The 21,438-nt window shown below is 36.9% G+C and overlaps 1 protein-coding gene across 9 annotated transcripts in view; it reads left to right on the forward strand.

Moving 5' to 3' along the window:
- Positions 1-21,438, forward strand: part of KCNQ5 (potassium voltage-gated channel subfamily Q member 5) — a 576,790-nt gene that overhangs the window by 380,718 nt on the left and 174,634 nt on the right. For all 9 annotated transcript variants that reach the window (NM_001160133.2, NM_019842.4, NM_001160134.2 and 6 more), the window contains exon 2: positions 1,127-1,217. In NM_001160133.2, coding sequence (NP_001153605.1) covers positions 1,127-1,217 — 91 coding nt within the window. The remainder of the gene's footprint in view (positions 1-1,126; positions 1,218-21,438) is intronic.

Here is a 21,438-nt window from a genome sequence, read left to right on the forward strand (position 1 = left end):
AAACTTTATTTACACAAACAGGCATTAGGAGCCAGATTTGTCCTGTAGGCATAATTAGGCAAACTCTGGCTATACTGCCCAAACCCTGGCCTTTGGGAACTTCCAATCAAGTGTGGTGGTAAGACTTGTAAGACTTTTCAGGGGAAGCAAGGAGGAGTCAGGGACTAACTTCACCATCATCCAGAGGAGCATAGAAACTTGGTATTTTAAGACAGCTTACTATATGAATTTCCCAGAGAGGAACACAAGTAAAAAATATGACCTAGAGCAAATAGCTCAGGTTTTTTTTTTAACACTGCCTTTCAAAATAAGTAACTTCAACTTTGAAACAGAGCCTTCCCTTTTAGTAGACATTTTCCTTGGAAACTCAGCTCCCGCCTTGATCCTAGAAGTTACACATTTGTAGGAATAAAAATATCTGTAGATTAATTGGTAGACAATGCCTGATCCTGAATTCTGTTTCTTATCCTTATATATGAATAGACAGAGCTGAGAAGTCATTTATCCAGCAGTTTGACTAGAAGGAAATGGAAAGTGTATGGGTAGCAGAGGAAATCATTCACTTCCTTTTCTATTCTTATTATTAATATATGATCTTATTATTAATAATATAAAGGAATAGCAAATGAGAATCCATGAGCAATATCAGACCATGAAAATGAGCCAGTGGCTGAGTAACAACCAATTAGGACACTTGATAGTTTAGCAAAGTTGCCAAACAGGAGACAGACTCGGCTCCTTTGAACGAAGAGTGACTGCAGTGTGGATTCCCCAGATAGGAGAGCAAGAACATACTTTCTGGGCCTCTCTCAGGATCGTTGTTTGGGAAGGAAGTTGTATGGGAAATTCACAAACTCTTAGATGCTAACATTTAAATGCAGCATGCCACACACACAAACCCACAAACACAACCTTTTTTTCATCAATAAAATTGCAGAGGAGCCCCATTTGCACAGTATATCACATTGTATTTTAATATCCAAAATGGCTAGTCCCTTCCAGAGTTTTTATGAGTTAATGTGTGCTAATTTAATGGGCCTGGTGCTTTATTCATTTGAAGCAAGAAATTAAGTCTGTGATAATAAGGTAAGGTTCTTATCAGATTTCTCTTTTTGTTGTTTTACAGTTTTCTCCTTGTCTTTGGTTGCTTGATTTTGTCAGTGTTTTCTACCATCCCTGAGCACACAAAATTGGCCTCAAGTTGCCTCTTGATCCTGGTAAGTGAAACATGAACAAGAACGTACATGAATGTTGTATAAGAACTGCCTATAACATTTATACTATGCATCTTATCCTACAAAAAAATCCTATCTAAAAAAGAGTTACTGAGAAATATAAAAATGTCAAAGATTACTGAAACATTTGCCCACCAATTTAACATGTAGTCAATCCTTAGAAATATATAGAAATGTTCAGGATTGCTATTACACAGCAATATCTTGTGTTGTAGATATATCATAAATAGAAGGCAATATTAGAAAGCAGTTTTAAGTATGTTTATCTATGCTAATAAACAAATTATATAAGAAGAATCAGTATCTATGAGGCCTCTCATTATATTGTGAAAGACTATAGAGTAGAGAGCATTTTCCAATAACTGTAATTTGGCAGTAGCTAAATATAATTGGCCAAGAACTATGAACATATGGCACCTCATAAGAAAATAGAAGGCTCCTTCATGCTCTTTTCAACCAACAGACTGCATTATGAGTTTTGCTGCTAATGCAGTTACCTGGTGATAAATTCTGCAGTTTGCTCTGTTTCCATTATGCTGTCAATCCTCAACCACACAGAATTGCTCAATTCACTTTAAAATGGAAAAAGACCCCAAGATATTTTTATCAGAATTATTCTGAGCCTTTTAAGCTCTCATACTTTCTATTACAACTAAACTATAGCACTGTACACTCTAATCACATCTGATTGAAAGTTTGGTTCATTTTCAACTATTTTGACCCACTCACTTTGTCCAAAATTATCAGATTTGACAGTCTTAGAGCTATTTGAATGAACTACAAACTGGAACAGCTCACTGTTTCTGTAAAGCCTAGGGGTATACAGAAGCAGGGGGAGGAAAACGGTAAGATGGTTTATGTGCCCTAATAAGCAGAGGTTGGTTATGTTACAGCAATAAATATTGAATATGAAAAAATTGTTACTACCACGAAGGTGGAAACTGAAAGATTTCAACTCATATAACCTGAGAGAGGGGGCAGATGCTTTTCCTACCTTTGCTTTCAGATGGCTAGTTTGTACTCAAGGTTGCTAAGACATCATCAAGTCTTTCTGTGCAATATCAGGGAGACCTCATTTTGAATCTGTAATAAATCTCTCTCAATTCATTTGCATACAAATTGTGCTCCAGCAGCATATTGCTCATGTTAAGGTTACCGTTTCAAAGCCCAAGGTAGAGAACAGATAGACCAAAGAGCACATCAGAGATCTGTTCCATTTGCAAGCTTTCCCTTTGGGTAGAAAGTAGGCTTTTAACCTTGTCTGCCCTTTTGATAACACAAATGATCTGAGCCCAAGGGCTAAGGTATAGCTGGCTTTTAGGTCCACATATGGAACTACAACCAGGAATTTTAGACTGAAAATATAAATCTGATTTTTAAACTTGGAAACAAAAAACTGGATCTACTGCATGACCAATATTAGGAATAAATCAATCATTAGGAATCTCATGAAAAGATTTCTTCCAGAGCCAGGTCAAAAATCCAAAATGTTAGATTTATATCCTCCAAACCTCTGAAATATAAATTCTGTCATTGCTAATGAATTTCTAAATAGTCCAAAGAAACCCATGTAATCACAAAGTCTAAAACTGATTAGTATCTTGACTTTTAAAACCTGTTAAATAGTGAACAATGGATCAGAGTTTAGTAACTAGAGTGCATTTAGTAGAAAATAAAAATGTAGATGTCAGTCTTGAATGCTTTCTGATTTAGCAAGGTGGAAATGAGTTCCTCTATGCAGATGAGGCCTTTGTTTTGAGCAATGTGGTTAGTGCTACAGATATATATTCGCAGAAACCTGTTGCAACAAGGCTTTCCATAGGGAGAGGGTTTGTTAATCCTACTATCTTTGTACTATAGTGATACATTGTCAAAGTATATTCTCAAAACCTACCTAGAAATATGCAGACTGCATTGCAGAGCTAAGATTCACAGATGAAATTCTTCACCAATGTTTTCTCCAAAATCTTTTTATCTGGACACAAAAATTCAAATACTGTCTTTTACTTTTTCTTTAGCAATGAATAAATTAGGAAAGCATTAATATTTTAATTATTTTTCACAATGAGTTAACATAGTATATTATAAAAGTTCAATCATTTGTAGAAGATTTGGAAAAGTCAATCATTAAGATGACAAATCTTAATGATTTAAGTAATGTCTCATTTATTACCTTTTAACATGTATTTTTGAGACAGTTACTATGATTTCAAAGTCACAGAACTCATAGAACACGATTCTGATTAGCAGTAAAGTTCCCAAGATGAGACATATCGAAGGAATTACCATCCAAAGGAAGAAGAAGGATTATCATTGAAATAGTAAAAAGCAATGGCTTTTAAAATGCTTGCAAGACCAGGCACAGTGACTCATGCATGTAATCCCAGCACTTTGGGAGGCCAAGACAGGCAGATCACTTGAGGTCAGGAGTTTGATACCAGCCTGGCCAACACAGTGAAAGCCTGTCTCTACTAAAAAACACAAAAATTATCTGGGTGTGGTGGCATACACCTGTAATCCCAGCTATTTGTGAGGCTGAGGCAAGAGAATAGCTTGAACCCAGGAGGCGGAGGTTGCAGTGAACCGGGATCGCACCACTGCACTCCAGCCTGGGCAACAGAGCAAGACTCCATCTCAAATATGAATAAAATAAAATAAAATGTTTGCAAAAATGTACAATAAATCCACATTTGTACACTTTTCGTGTACACTGTTGATGTATAAAGACAACACCAGAGGTGTACATTTAGAACTATGTGTAAATCCTATATCAAGATTGTGTATTTTTTCATAACTTCCATCCCTTTTGGTTTTTTTAACATTTTAAAATATGTTCAGATATTTCCTACAATTCTATTTCTGTGCAAGTGAAAGGCACCGACACTTGTGACAGGGAGCACACTACAGGCAAACCTGGCTTGTAGACAGAGCCCTCTTTGACACTCACTCTTTTCCACCTAATTGTTCCCTTGAGGGCACCAGCGTGTTAGGTGCAGGCCATCCCTTTAGACATCTCTTGCTTGCCTCCTGGGGGCCCCCATAAGGACTTTCGCTGTCCATCCCACATCCAAAAAGGAAGTCTCCCCTCATTTCCATCCAGAATGGCACTGCCAACGCTCTTGTAAACTTGTAACTTCACAAACTTGCCTTGGTTACAAGCCAAATGAATACCTGTGTTAATTTGCTCATTTATTCTTTTCAGTTGTGGGAACTGAGATTTCAGCCTATACAACCAGGTTCCTTATTTCTCTCCATAGAAGCAGTGGAGCATAGACTTAAGAATGTGATACAGACTATAGTCGGGCTCCATGAATTCAAATTTCACTCCTGTCCAATTTTAGCTGTGCGACTTGGAAAATCACTCCACTGTGCCTTAGTTGTCTTATCTGTTAAAAGTGAATAGGAGGATTCTAGAAGAAAGACAGAGTAGGAATCACCAGGATTCTGTCTCCCCACCTAAACAACAATTGCACTGGCAGAATTTGATGTAATTCAATGGATGGAACTCTGGAATCTATTGAATGTTTGCAACTTACAGAGGAAGGCTTAGATGGTAAGTTGCAGTTAATTTTGTCCATTTCAGCTCTTAGCACAGTGATAGCTACCCATCCCCTACGCCCAGGCCCATTGCAGGCAGCTGTGCACATGTTCCAGGAGGGACCTGAACACAGCTTATAAGAGCCAGGATGGGCAAAAAGAACTCTGTCCTCCAAATATCAGAAATCTGACCTCGGATCACTAATTGCTGCTTCTGATCACAGAGGCGCAGACAAAAAATGTGGCAGCCATTGCTGTTGCACCTTCACCCATTGCTGTAAGCCCCTCCCCTACCAGCAAAAGTGACTTCTAGGGGATTAAAACGATCCTCCCCACATCCTTCATTTTTCTTTTTTCCTTTTTTGGAATACAGTGTATAAAGATGTAATTATGTGACATTAATAACTGAAAGGTGTAGGGCTAGAGATGTAAAGGAGCAGAGTTTTTGTATGCCATTAAAGTTAAACTGGTATAAATTCAAATTAGAGTGTTATAACTTTAGGATGTTAATTTAATTCCCATGGCAACCACAAAGAAAATAGCTATAGAATATACACAAGGAGAAGTGAGAAAGGAATTCAAACATTTCACTACAAAAAAAAAATGAACTAAACACAAAAGAAGGTAGCAATTCAGGAAATGAGAGACAAAAAAAGCTATGAAGTATATGTAAAACAAAGAGCAAAATGATGAAAGCGTCTCCTTATCATTAATTACTTTAAATGTAAGTGGATAAAAGTTTCTAGTAAAAGACAGAGATTGGCAGAATTGATAAAAATACATCATTCAACTGTGTATATGCTTAGTACAAGAGACTTACTTTAGATTCAAAGACACAAATACATTGACAGTAAAAGGGTGGAAAAGATATTTTATGCAAATAGTAAACAAAAGAGAGCAGAGGTGGCTATACTAATAACATACAAAATAGACTTTAAATCAAAAAAGTTATAAGAGATAAAGAAGGGCATTATATATTAATAAAAGGTTTAATACAACAAGAAGATGTAATAATTATAAACATTTATGCACCTAATAACAGGTAATAAAATACATGAAGCAAAACTGACAAAATTAAAGGGAGAAATGGATAGTTCTACAACAATAGTTGTAGACTTCAATACCCTACTCTCAATAATGGATAGAACAACCAAACAGAAGATAAGTAAGAAAACAGAAGACTTAACACAATAAACCAACTAGGACTAACAGACATAATACAGAACACTGTACCCAATAACAATAACATAAACATTCTTATGTTATTCATATGCCATTATGTTAGCCCGCAAGTTAAGTCTCAACAATTTTAAAAGATGGATACCACACAAAGATGGATACCACACAAAGTATTTTTTCCAACCACAATGGGATGAAGTTAAATATCAATAACAGAAGTAAAACTGGAATATTCAAAAATTAAACAGCATGCCTTTGTTTTATTTTTTTTTCTTGAGACAGAGCCTCACTTTGTCACCCAGGCTGGAGTACAGTGGTGGGATCTTGGCTCATTGCAACCTCGACCTCCTAGGTTCAAGAGATTCTCCTGCCTCTCAGCCTCCTGAGTAGCTGGGACTACAGGCACGCACCACCACTCCCAGCTAATTTTTGCATTTTTAGTAGAGGCAGGGTTTCACCATATTAGCCAGGCTGGTCTTGAACTCCTGACCTCAAGTGATCTACCAACCTCAGCCTCCCAAAGTGCTGGGATTACAGGTGTGAGCCACTGTGCCCAGCCTAAACAGCATACTTTTAAACAACCAATGGGTCAAAAAATAAGTCTTAGAAATTAATGAAAACAAAACGCAACCTGCCAAAACCTATGGGACACAGTGAAAGTTGTGCTAAGATTAAAAATTATAGCTATAAATGCTTACATTAAAAAAAGAAATATCTCAAATCAGCAACTTCATTTTACAACTTAAGGAGCTAAAAAAGAATACAGTAGACCCAAGCTAGCCAGAACAAAGGAAACAGTAAACATGGATAAATGAAATAAAGACTAGAAAAACAATAAAGAAAATCAATGAAACCAAAAGTTGGCTGTTAGAAAAGGTTGACAAAACAGACAAACCTTTAGATAGATGAACTAAGAAAAAAGAATACTCGAATTAATAGAATCAGAAATGGAAATGGGAATATTGCTACTGATTCTACAGAAATAAAAAGGACAATAAGAGAGTACTGTGAACAATTGTATGCCAACACATTGGAAATCTAGATGAAATGGACAAATTCGTGAAAACACAAAACCTACCAAGACTAAATCACAAAGAAATAGAAACCGAATAGTGCTATAACTAGTAAGGAGATTGAATCAGTAATAAAAAATCTTTCAACAACAACAAAGAAGCCCAGGATCTGATGGCTTCACTAGTGAATTCTAACAAACATTTAAAGAACTAATATCAATCCTTCTGAAACTATTCCAAAAATATAAAAAAGAAGCAACACTTCCTAACTAATTCTATGAGGCATTACTTTGATGCCAAAGACACAAGAAAAAGAAAACCATAGACCATTATTTCTTATGAACATTAGTGTAAAAATCATCAACAAAATGCTCGTATATTTACCAGAATATTAAGAGGATTATACACCTTGGTCAAAGGGGATTTAGTCCTTCAATGAAAGAATAATTCAACACACAAAAATTGATCAGTGTTATAGGCCACATTAACAGAATGAAGGGAAGATGCCACATAATTATCTCAATTGAAGCCAGAAAAAACATTTGAAAAAATTCAGTACCCTTCTATGATTAAAATATATATATATACTCCACAAACTAGGAATGGAAGAAAACTACCTCAACATGATAAAAGCCACATATGAAAAACCTACAGCCAACATCATACACAAAGGTGAAAGACTAAAACTTTTCCTCTAAGATCAGGAAGAAGGCAAGGATGTCTGTGTTTGCCATCCCTATTCAACAAAGTACTAGACGGCTGTACTAATTGCTAGCTAGAGCAATTAGGCAACTATTAAATAAAAGAAACAAAAGGCATCCCAACTGAAAAAGTAAGTAAAATTATCCCTGTATACAGATGATGTGATCTTATATGTAGGAACCCCTGAAGATTTAAAAAAAAAAAAAAGACTGTAAGAAATAATAAATGAATTCAGCAAAGTAGCAGGATGCAAAGTCAATATACAAAAATGAGTTGCATTTTACCAACAATGAAGAATTTAGAAAGGAAACTATGAAAACAATTCCATTTATAATAATATCAAAAAATACTTAGGAATTAACTTAACCAAGGAGATGAAGAACTTGTACAATGAAAACTACAATAACATTGCTGAAATAAATTAATAAGACATAAATAAATGGAAACTCATTCCCTGTCCATAGTTTTGAGAACTTAATATTGTTAACATGTCCAAAGTGATCTACAGATTCAATGCAATTCCTATCAAAATCCCAATGATGTTTCTTGCAGAAATAGAAAAACCCATCCTAGAATTCATATAGAATTTTAAAGGACCCCCAAATTGCCCAAACTATTTTGAAAGTAAAGAACAAAGCTGGAGGACTTATAATTTTTTATTTTAAAACTTACTACTACAAAGCTACAGTAATCAATCATGAGGTAGTTTCCTATAACATTATGAATGTATTTAAGCTACAGTAATCAATCATGATGTAGTTTCCTGTAACATTATGAATGTATTTAATACACTGAACTATAAAATGATTAAGCTGTAAATTTTATGTTATATATAGGCATAAAGACCAACATTTAGACCCATGGAATAGAATAGAAAGTCCAGAAATAAACCCACACACTTACGGTCAAATGATTTTTGACCATTCAGTGGGGAAAGGGCAGTCTTTTCAACAAATGGTGATGGAAATATTAGATATCCACATGTGAAAGAATGAAGCTGGACCCTTACCTAAGACAATACACAAAAATTAACTTGAAATGCCTTAAAGACCTAAAACTATAACATTGTTAGAAGAAAACATAAGGCAAAAACTTCATGACATTGGATTTGTCAGTGATTTCTTGGACATAACACCAAAGGTGTAGGCAACAAAAGAAAAAAACAGAGAAACTGAACTTCATAAAAATTTAAAATGTTTGTGCATCAGAAGACAGTATCAACAGAGAAAAAAGGCAACACACAGAATGAGAGAAAATATCTGCAAATAACATACCTGAGAAGGGGTTAATATCTGGACTATGTAGAGAATTTCTGAAACTCAACAACAAAAACAACCTAATTCAAAAAATGAGCAAAGGACTTGAATAAACATTTCTCAAAAAAAAAAGAGGTACAAGTGGCCAATAAGCACATGAAAAGATGCTCAACATTATTAATCATTAGGGAAGTGCAAATCAAAACTACACTGAGTACCACCTCACACCCGTTAGGATGGCTACTATCACAGAAACAGAAAATAACAAATGTTGGTGAGGATGTGGGAAAATGGAATCCTTGTTCACAATTGGTGGGACTGTGAAATGCTATAGCCACTATGGAAAACAATACAGCTTTTTTTCCTCAAAAAAATAAAAAATAGAATTACATGATGCAGCAATTCCACTTCTGGATGTATGCCAAAAACACTGACGGCAAGGTCTCAAAGAGATGTGTACACCCATGTTCATAGCAGCATTGTTCACAATAGCCAGAATGTGGAAACGACCCAAGTGTATACTGACAAGTGAACGGATAAGCAAAATATGGCATATACATACAAAAAAAGTATTCACCCTTAAAAAGAAGGAAATTTTGACATATGCTTCAACATGGATTAATGTTGGGGACATTATGCCAAGTGAAATAAGCCAGCCACAAAAAGAAAAATAATGTATGATTCCACTTATATGAGTGAGATACCTAGAATAGTCAAAAAAGTATAGAGACAAAGTGGAATGGTTGTTGCCAGGGGCTGTAGGGATCAGGGAATAGTGAGTTATTGTTTAATAGATGAAGAGTTTCAGCATTACAAGAAGAAAAGAGTTAGGGAGATGGGTGGTGGGGATGGTTCTGTAACATTACGAATGTATTTAATACCACACTGAACCATACTTTAAAATGGTTAAACTGTAAATTTTATATTACATATATTTTACCACAATAAAAAAATTGAGAAAAATCTTTTAAAAGATTAAATGAGCATTAGGAAAAATAGCTAATACACGCTGGGCTTAATACCTAAGTGATGGGTTGATAGATGCAGCAAACCACCATGGCACACATTTACCTATGTAACAAACCTGCACATCCTGCACGTGTACCCCGGAACTTAAAATAAAACTAAAAATTAAAAAAAATTAAATGAAATTTAAAACTCAAAAAAAAAGTGGTTAATGATATAGCCTACTTCATAAGGCTGATGTGAAAATTAGATAAATTCAAGTGCTTAGGACTGGGCCCAACAGAAAGAAAACTCTTGGAAAGATAGCAAATATGATCATCATGGGATCTTCCATGTTTAATGGAGACCTCATAGGGACACAAGTACAGGTGAACTGTGGAACATTTGAAAATGCTACACTTAAGGAAATATTATATTTTATAATAGAAAACAAGTATCTGTGTAAGAGTTTTCTCACCGCAATCACTGTTAATTATGGAAGCTTGCTACATAAACATGTTCTCTAAAAGTGACTCAGTGGTACACATTCGGCATGCAGCATGTGTTCACAATAGCCACTTATTTCTGGTGGCTAATGAAACTGATTTCAATTGTTGAAGCATTTTAGTAAATACGTCTGATGACAGTGCTTGTGGCTTTATATCTCTTCTCTCGATGTCTGCATCTACTGAGTGAAACATTGGGCAGGAATAACTCCAGATCTGATGGACTTGCTTGCTCTGCCATCACCCTGGTGATAAAATTTGTGAACTCAAGAACGTGTATGAAACTGTGTGTCCACATTCCAGGGACAGTTAAAAGCTGGTGTTAATTTCCTATATTTGGTGATTCCATCAAAAATGAAAGGGAGCCAGCATTTTTTAAGTACCCTTCATTTATTAGGCTCATTGATTTCTTACTAGAAAAATAAAACTGGCAATGTAAGTATCCCCTCCCATTTTCACAAATAGCTAAATAAGTTGTGCAAGATAACACACCAAGTGTAAAATAGCCAAGATTCCAGCTTAGGCCTGGCTGAGGAAAAGACTGGGCTGTCTTCAGAGCATCCCGCTGCCTCTCATTCTCTTGCTTCTTTCAAGGCTGACAAGTCTACCAAAATGCATTTGCCAGTACCCAATGAAGTGCTCATGTCTAAGGCTTCTTTTTGTTCCATATATGCCAAATAAGGCTTACAACACTTTTACTTAGGATGCTGTGCTTTCATAAAGAGTTCCACTTACCAAGTTATCACAAATGGGTATATCAATTCAGACCACTAGAAGTTCTTTGTACTGAGAATTCTAAATTCTGTTTTGCAAATATTCAAGAGCCTGATTCATGGGGTAAATAGTCAAGTGTAAAAGTTCATCTTCTAGCCCCAGTTCACTTTGCTCAGGTGAGTATCATGCTGTTGAAGTGAGTTCTCCTATTTCCAGGTTAGACTATTGTGGTAAGTTTTGTTTGGTTTGTTTTGATTTCATTAGCCAAAGGTTGTAGGTTTTAGCATTGTATTTCCCACCTTTTTGAGAACAATACTGTCTGGAGTGCATTTCCTCTCTGTTAAAGAACTTCTTGCCATCCAGATTAATTTTAAAGTATTTATTTTAAGTTTTTAGATGAAAATTGTCCATCATGTTGAGAAAAGAGAACTCCATTTGATGAAAGTGATGCATATTATTTGCAAAATTCTTATTGCAGGTTATCATTTCTAAAAGTGCCCACCCATAAGCAGTAAAAGGAATGCCACTATCAATTTTAGCAAGACAGAGCCTGTCTCAGTATATTTGCTCCTGTACCCTCCTGCTGTGTTAGAAAGACTCCAAACTACAAATGGATCGTGCTCAGCATCTGGATGAGTACTCTATCCAGGCTTTCCCAAACATCCAGATGTTTGACAGCTTCTACATATGCATATTTTCTCCTTATGCTTCAGGTAGCAAAGTAAACATGGGTTTATTGTTTCCCTGCACAGTGACTCTGCTCCTGAATTGTGTACAAACTCAATTTAGGCAGGTCTAATTATATCTTAAATGTACTAGTGGAGCTTACTATTTAAAGAAAATCTATAGGGAATTCTTTTGTAAAGTGAAGCATCCCCTTGGAAAGGTAATAACAGCTACATAATTTGTTACATGTTTGTTTTCTTTTTAATGCGGGCACATGCATTTTTAATTGCTATATAAATATTCACTATATATATATAACATGGTATTGAAGAATTAGAGACATCATTGCCACTTCCTATATACCAGTATTAACGGGGGAGGGAAAAATCAGCCACAAGCACATTTACTGGTCCTTGCAAAGTAGAAAGGTTTGCACATGAAATTGTAAGGGTTTGATACAGAATGAGATGACAGTAGTCTTTACATTTAAAACTTCTGGTATTAAATATTGTAAGAGAGGATAACAGAGTGTAAGGATAAGAATCCATTCGAGGATATTAAATCTTATGTTTGTAAAGGCAGTAACGCAGTATGAGATATGAAGCAATCAGATGTGAGGAATGAGCAATGCTTCTTTAGATTTATCACATCCCTATAATTTACTGCAGAAAGCTCTCAGAATATCCCAATGAACATTGAAAACTGCAGTTATTTTCCTTTGCTTTTCTTTCATCAAGGAAAAATGCAAATAAACTCTAAAATGATTCACAGAGACTAACGACCCTCATCAATCTGCCGATGACTGAAAAGAAAAAAGCAGGAATAGTTAAACACCTACACTGAACCTTAACAGAAGGATAATAACATAGTAAGTTGCCCCATAAAAAGTATTTCAGATATTAGAGGAAAGAATTTTTGAAGCTAAAGATAATGATTGTGCCTGAAAAAGACCATGCCTCTATCTACAATTAAGGAAGGAAAGAATTTTCCATATTTTTATGCAAACATTGATGTCTAACCAAGTGGTCCAGGCTATGCTACCAAACTCTGTACAACTTTGTTTCAAGACTTGACAGGCTACCCAGCAGACATCCTTAGAGCTATAAATGAGCCATATTCAACCAGGTCCACACTGATGTTTAGCTCTTATGCCCTTTTGAGCTTCACAAAAGTATATCTGATGGAGAGAGAAAGAGAAACAAGGTAGTATGATAAATTTTACAGGGTTACTGGAAAATAAGTCAAAATGTTTGTCAGTAGAAGGAAAAACACCCTTCCCTTACTATCTTTCCATGCTGTGATCATTTCCATCATTTGAAACCTGGACCAAATACCTCCTCCTTCCTGAAATAAACTTTCTTTCCTCTAACTTTCCTCAGTCCTGTCTACTTGACATTGTATCTTCTCCATTATTCATTTATTCAACAAGATGTATGCAGTACCCAATAAGGATGAGGCATTCTTTTTTAAGAGCTGAGGAGATAGCAATGAACAAAACAGCCAAAATCTCTGTTCTCATGGAGCTAATGTTTTTGTGGAAGACCTAGAATAAACAAACAGGAAAATCAATATATTAGATATTACAAATAAAAGGAAAGCAAGAAAAAGGAATAGGTAATGAAGGAAAGTTTAGATAGTATGTTTAGAGAAGTCCACTGAAATGGGTGGCAGAGACTTGAATGGAATGAGGCGATGAGGCATGCAAAGATTAGGGAAAAGAAAATGCCAGGCAGATAGAGCTTCAAGGACATAAGCTTTAGACAGGAGCATACCTGGTGAGACAAGGAAGGGCAAGAAGATGAGCAACTGAAGGAGGGTAAGCCAGGGTTGGGAGAAGTGGAGAAAATGAGGCACCAGTTGAACTGTAAATTTCCTGAGAAGAGAATCCAAAGCTGACTCAGTGACACCACTTAATACAGTAATAGTTGGTGGCAAATCATCAGTAAATGAAAGGAGATGGCCCATTTAATTATATAACACTAATATTGACATGTTCATGGAATCATGGATATGGCACCAAAATTCAGACAATATGCAGGACCTGACTTTAGAATGGACTAGAGCAGAGAGTAATAGGATGGGGGACATTTAGGAAGCAGGTGAAGTTATTCAAGTAAAACACAATAGAGCCCTAAACCAAACAGAGGCAGCATGAATAGCGAAAGGGCATGGACTAGAACAATATAGAGAACTTACAGGTTAAACCAAAACTGTAAGTCCTGTATAATTGGTTTGTGCCTCACAGAAATTTCTGGGAGGGCTTTCCTCAGCAGATTAGAAGTATTCTGCCCCTTCAGTTACTACATAGCTGCAGGTTACCTGCCTCCTGCCAGACATGGTTTGCTTTGTCTGTGGTTCCCATTTGCTTACTGCCTCTCTGATTGATTGAGACCTGCCATCTTGCTCTGGCCTACATATCCCAACTCTGGATTTCCCACTTGGTCTCTGATCCTGTGGATTTCTATAGATTTTCATATATTTCCCTGGGTTCTGCTTACTTCCTCTTCTAATTTCTCCAGCTCCAGTCCCTTAACTCATGCAATTTTAACTCAAATATATATTAAATGCTTCCTACATTTTAGCCCCTGTGCTGGGGTCTGGAGTCCCAAAAATGAATAAGGCATCGCCCTGCCCTGGAAGAATTCATTGTCCACAGTATGGTATTTTCTACAACCTCTGACTGATTCCAGAAGAAAATAACCTTGAAATCATGGTGAAATTACTAAATTAGAAGATGAGAGAGAAATAGGTTAATTCATCATTTTTTAAGTTCCCACTTTAGGACATATCCACACAAGAAAATAGGTCTATCTCTAAGTCATTTTTTTATCTTGGAGATTACAAATGAGATGATCAAAAACTATTTTCAATATAGGTTACTACTGATCATGCCCATTTATTGAGTATTGCTTTGGTACTGCACAAAACCAAAAGCTGGAAGCAATAGGGTAGGTCCCACTGTTCCCCATGCAGGTATACACACCAGGGGTTACAACTAAAGTGAGAAGACACATCATGCCTCTGCAAAGTAGATTAGAGAAAAATTTTCCAAGCTGTAAATGGCAGCTTGACAAACAACATTACAGGCTGGATTCAATGAAAACGCTGCAGACCTGGCTCCCTCCAGGGCTATAAATCACAATGAATACACAGAACATTACTGGAAAATGCAGAACAGAAAAGAGACTGTGCAAGTGTTACAGGCCCTCCAGCCTTGGCTCACTGAAGACTAATTTAGGGAGATTCAGTGCCGCAAGGTCTCAGCATCATGGGAAAACCTGGAAAGCCCTCCTCATGAAAGAACACTGCAGAAGAGTCTTAACAAAGAAATGGAAACTCCAGACCAAAACAGCTCTCAGGGGAGACCAGAAGGGTAGAAAGTAAAAGAGGACCACCCCTAGGAGTGCAGGGCAGTAGGGAGGACTCACTCTGGTTCTCACTCCCCACCCCTTACTCTCCTGAACGTTATTTTTTAAATCAGGTGAAATCAAGTATGAATAACATCAAATGCAACCTCAAAAGAAAGAGAAATCCCAACATATTATGTTGGAGGAGTGTTATGCAGAAATAGAGAAGGGCCGGGGGGCATTCCTGCCTCTTTGACTTAATGATAATAATGACTGGAGAATTTGTGAGTTAATTACACCTCTATAAGTCTGGAGGTTTCTCTGCCTGTCAGTTAGCCCATCTGTTTCTCTTCCATAGGCTCCTTTCTGAGTCACTTTCTGGTCTTGACCTATAGCCTACAGCGGTGGAGAATTGGATGCCCAGGGTCACTGTAGCCAGGCAGGGATGCGCATACAACTGGGTGAGGCAAGTGGGCTGTGTGATGAGTTTGGGAAGCTTGTCAGTTTGTAGAGTCCAAGAAAGAGCTATGGAGACCTCTAGGATAGAGGTCGAGCTGTGTCCTTCGAAACCCCAACACTGTGAGGACAAACATTTCCTTAAGTCACTTCTGCAGTTTTTTTTTTAATCTTGAGCTGTTCATTGATTCATTAATTCATTTATTCACTCATCAAATATTCACTAAGGACCTACCAGGTATGCTGTGAGCCAGAGGCATGGCATACATTATATAACAGCTGTACACTGAGATACTCATATAGTCCCCATCGCTGTCTGTGATGATTCTTTAAAATTATTTTCCTAGTTAAATCAGGTGGAGAATGTGGAGCATTATGCAAATACAGTCAATCTGCTACCTTAAGTTTCCCTAATGCAAGTTACCTCATCCACAATTTATGAAATTGTACATACAGTAATGATGTCAATGTAACACAGAAGTTAGAGATTATTTTTCTCATATAATAGCAGCTCAGCATACAACACATTGGCCTATCTGAATGCACCAAGCTTGAAGGAATGCAGTACTGCCATGTCTACCTTCTTTATTTTGGATACTCGCTCTTCCTTGGAAGTTACTTAGACAGATCTTCCCAGTCTTGTGCAGAAGACACAAACATAGATGATGAACAGAAGTAATCCATCATTAGCATCACCACATTGTATGCAAAGCCAACACCTCTGTCTACCTGTGATATATGACAGGGTGACCTTATCTCCATAATGCAGCAGCCTGAATATTTACCAGCATCCCAGTCCATCAAGCTCTCTTCACCTACATGTTAAGTGAAGGCCAAGATTACTCCAGCATTTCCTTATTAGAATTTGACATGCCTTTTTAATTGTACTTCTATCTTATTAGAATTGTTTTCGTTAGGTCTCTGTTTACAACGTTTCCTAGGTTTAGAGTGGTTTGGTTGAATTCTATTTTTATCATAAGCCCTGTTCTTTTTAGTGTGAAATCTTGCCCCAAACTATGTTTTCCAGCAATGTATATATGGCATTGTGGCAGGAAAGCCCATATTTCAGTGGATAGAGTTTACCCATTCTGCCTATTCAAAAGCACACTATATTCTGATTGATAATGCAGTCCTTTCCAGTGAAAGACATCAACAACACAAACTAAGTTTGGCGGGTATCATCCTTAGGTCCCATAAATCAAAAGGATAAAAGGATAAAACCTGCATCAGGACATGGTTTGGAGTATTCTTCATCCAATCAAACTTTTCTACTCTCCTTTATCCAGCTATATTAAAGAAATCTTTAAGCTTTACAAACCTATTTATCAAAAGTTCAAATTTTTAAAATTAGCCTAAATTTTAATAAAGGGAACTATCAGGCAGTTTAGATTGAAAAACAATGTTATATGGTGTTAAAGTTAGAAACAAATTTTACAGCTATTACTATAGCACAAACAATATTTTGTTAAAAATATAAGACAGTCTGATTTAATAATTATAAGCTTTCTTTTTCACTTATTTATGTATTTTGACATTTTCTCAGTGCATAGCACCTATAACATTGGGATCATTCTGTCTTTTCCTATTTTTAACCCAGAGTAAAATTCCAAATATTTTTTAGAATTAAAAGATTTAATTCTTTACCTTATCAGAGAGGAAAAAACAAAGTCTTTTATCTGTCCACTCACAATACAGAACACTTCTTACACCAGATGTGTGGGGGTTTTTCCCTACACGCAAAGCAAGCGATCAGTTTTAGAGTGGACACCAGCTGGGTGTCCTCTAATTCAATTCAGTTCTGATACCACCTACCTGGAGATAGAGTCAGATCCCACAGATCTTGTGGCTCAGTCCCATGAGACTGCCCCAACTTTCAGATGCCAATTGCAAGCTTTAGATTTGCTTTCTTACCTATGCTTCCAACCAATCAACTATAGATCAGCGTTCTCGTGACCTTCTCCTTGGGCTCAATTAATTTGCTGGAATGGCTCACAGAACTCAGGGAAACACTTATTTCATTTACCAGCTTATTATAAAGGATATTACAAAGGATACAGATGAAGAGATGCATAGGGCAAGGTTATGTAGGAAGGGGTGCCAAGATTCTATGCCCTTCCTGGGCACACCATCCTTCAGGAACCTCCAGATGTTCAGCTATACAGAAATTCTTCAAACCTTGTCCTTTTTTATTTTTATGGAGGGTGCTTCATTACATAGACATGATTGACATTGTCCACTGATCATCAACTTAACATTCAGCCCCTTTCCCGTCCTTGGAGGTTGGGTGGTGGGATTAAAAGTCCCAACCCTCTAACCCTGTCTTGGTCTTTCTGGTGACCAGCCTCCATCCTGAAGCTGCCTAGGGGTTTCCAGCTACCAGTCAATTCATACAAAAAGACACTTATCACTTTGAAGATTCTAAGGATTTTAAGAGTTGTATGCCAGGAAACAAGGAGGAAGACCAAATATACTGTGTATTTCACAGTATCACACCTTGCTACACACAGGCTTCTCACATCCTGATCTTTCCTACATCTCTAGGCTAATTGCTGCACCAATTTCCCTTAAAGGTGCCCACACATGCACACACACACACACAGTCATGTGCTACATGCCAGCAATACTAAACCATTCATATTTTTCATGCACACTGTCTCTGTGCCTTTAAAAATAATGTTCCTTCTATTTGAAAAACCCAGTTCTACCACTTCCCTTCACCATCTTGGTAATTCCTATCAATTTATTAATTCTCAGCTCGCTCTCTTCTTGAAAGTTTACCCTGACTCTCCAGGAGTTGTTACATTCCCTACCCTTGTGTTCTGGGGTTCAACACAGCTCAGAGGGAATGGTCTGTAGCAGTGGATGGTCTATAACGGTGTTCATCACACTCTGCTACAGTTGTTGGTTTCCATACATACTTTTATTTCTGTTAGATTGAAAACTATATAAGAATAGGAACTATTTGTTAGTAGTCTATGTATTTCCTAGTATGTATCACAGTACTTATCATACAAGAGGTGCTCAATACCTATGTGAATAACCTGACCATTCAATCTAAGGAAGCCAGCAGTGATTCTCCACATGTATTCCTGTTTTATTGTCTTTATAGAATTTATAACTATTTGATGTTTGCTGGCTTATTTGTTATTGTCTTTCATTATTGGTTTTATTATACATAAGAACATAAGCTCCCTAAGAGTGGACCCTTATTGTTTTGTTCATCACTTTAGCCCCAGTGCCTAGAACAAAATAGGTATTCAGTGCCTGGAGCAAAAGAGATGCAAGATAAAACTGTCAACTTCATGTAATGAATGAGTAGATTCAGGTTTTTCTCTCCTGTACTAATAGCAAGCTTTTTAATAAATTAGTATATAGGTTCAATGCCTCCATGGAGACATTAAAATACTCTGGTTTCAATTAATCTTGCAATTTTAGCAGTATTAAATTCCAAAAACAATTTTTCACTCATTTGGAAGATCTATAAAGGCAACTGTAATTAAGTAATGTGGAACACAAGTTTCAAAGTCTAAAATAAAGTGATTATTCGCTCATTTTGTGCCTCTTTTTTTTCACTCTTCCTCATTTTTTTCTGAGATTCACTTACCCTTCTGAGTCTGGGCTAATCAATCATTTATGTTATTAAAGCAAATATGCTTATCTAATATCAAAGCAGTATAATCATGCACATTAAAGAATAATAGTATAACATGAGTCTGTAGCCAACATTAAAAATGCATAAGATCATGTAACAAGAATTACTGCAAAGACCTAGCCAGTTATTCAACACTAACATATTTTAATTAAAAACTAATTTAGTAATAACCGAATGATTCACTAGTGATCTCTAGATGCAAAAAAAAAGACTAGTGTCTTCAAACAGCTTCCTATAACATTTTAGATCAACTGAGCCTAGTCAAACTAAAACATAGTTACCAATCCCTCCTCAGACCTCACATGATACTTTTGTTTTTCACTTTTAACACATATTTTGCTTTTAAAGCACTGTGTCCAGTTTAAATATAAACTGGACACAGTGGCTTATGCCTATAATCCCAGCAACTTGGAATGCTGAGGAAAGGGGAACACTTAAAGCCAAGAGCCCGAGACCAGCCTGAGCAACACAGTAAGTCCTCATCTAGCACATGCCTATAGTCCTAGCTACTCAGAAGGCTAAAGTGGGAGGATTGCTTGAGCCCAGAAGTTCAAGGCTGCAGTGAGCTATGATCATGCCACTGCACACCAGCCTGGGTGACAGAATGAGTTTCTGTCTCTGAAAAAAAAATGCATTAACCAAGCATTTCTTGAGTGCCCACTAGTTCTAAGTTAAGTGCCCTAGCTCATTCCTGACTTCATTCATGCTTAAATGAGAGGACCTAAGTAAGTAGAATGAAAGCCTAATTGGTTACAAGAGAGGAAGGGACTCATTTCCACTGGCAATTGAAGGAAGCTTCCATAGATGGAGACATTTGAGGTGGTTCTAGCATCACAAAGGTCTTGGTCAGTCTGGCTAGATTTTATGGGGGTCAGGTAGATGAACAGAAGCTCAAAGGAAGATTGAAACAGAGAAGAACCTACTCTTCTGAGTACAGTCATTTGAATTTTATGTTGTAAGTGATTGGAAATGGAAAGGAGGTCCTTAAGTAGCACAATGACCTGATCTGATCAAATTTGGTTTTGAGAAAGATAATTTTGACTATGTCTTGAGGAATAACTGGAATGGAGAAGGAATAGTGGAGGGCAGGAAGAAATGGAGGCTGCTGCATTGCCCAGAAGCTACATGAGCATCAGGACTAAAATAGAGGCAGAAAAGATGGAGAAGAAAAACTGAATTCATAGAACATTCCTGAGGCCAAGCCATCAAGGGGTGGTGTTTGAGGTGAGAGGCTGGAGGTGAGGATTTCTGCACTTTCTGACTTTGGGGCATGGTCAGATAGTGATGACATCAGCCAAGACTAAGAACACATGGTGTTCGACAATTTCAGAGGAGAGATAGGCTGGTTTTAAATATATTACATTTGATTCATTTGGGGACCATCAGAAGGTACTGGAAATATTTATCTATAGTCCAGGAGATACGGGAGTCTGGATTTGGAGATCATGGCTATGTAGAGAAAAAGAAGGGAACTCGTGAGGTGGAGAGTGAAAAAAAATGGATAAGGAAATAGTAGCCACCATTATGATGAGCAAAACACTCTGGAAACAGACCCAATATTAACACACTTCATTTTCGTATTAAGCCCCTAGGAACCTTCATTTAAAGCAGTGCTTCTGTCAAAATTTAGACTTGAGGCATTTCATCAGATGCCTTCCCAGGACATGGCCTAACACCTGCATCATTTTCAATGCTAGCATTTAACTTGTTAGAGTATTAGCTTACAGCAGTCTTCATCCAAAGTCCTGGTGCTCTGGGATGATGGAAGCAAAATTGGGGATGGCGTCTTCTTCCTTTGAAAGAGCTATGGATTAACATTGCATTGAGGACTTATTGATATTAATTATTTTAAAGAGCTCACTGGGAACCATTCTTAAACCTAATCTAGGATAAAAAACCAGAAATCTTTAGGGTAATTGCAGTAACCTGCTACTGCCAATTTTTTCAAAGGACAAAGGGATGGAATTCTCCAAGAAATGGAGCACCTTGGAAGGTTTAGGTTTTTTATCTACATAAATATCATTGTTTGCAGGATACTAGCATCACTCCCAAATGTCAATTCTCTTTCCAATAATTACTGGGCCAATCATAATTGCCTCTTAACGCATCAAAGGGAATGTCTTGCTCTTGACAACCACACACCTAAGCTATTATGAACTGTAAGCAGTCAGTCCTTACCCTTAAGCCTCTGGCATAAATAATCCTGGCCAAATACCTGAGCAGCAAATAT

Source organism: Homo sapiens, chromosome 6 (genome assembly GCF_000001405.40).
Source record: "Homo sapiens chromosome 6, GRCh38.p14 Primary Assembly".
In the NCBI taxonomy this organism is placed as follows: domain Eukaryota; kingdom Metazoa; phylum Chordata; class Mammalia; order Primates; family Hominidae; genus Homo; species Homo sapiens.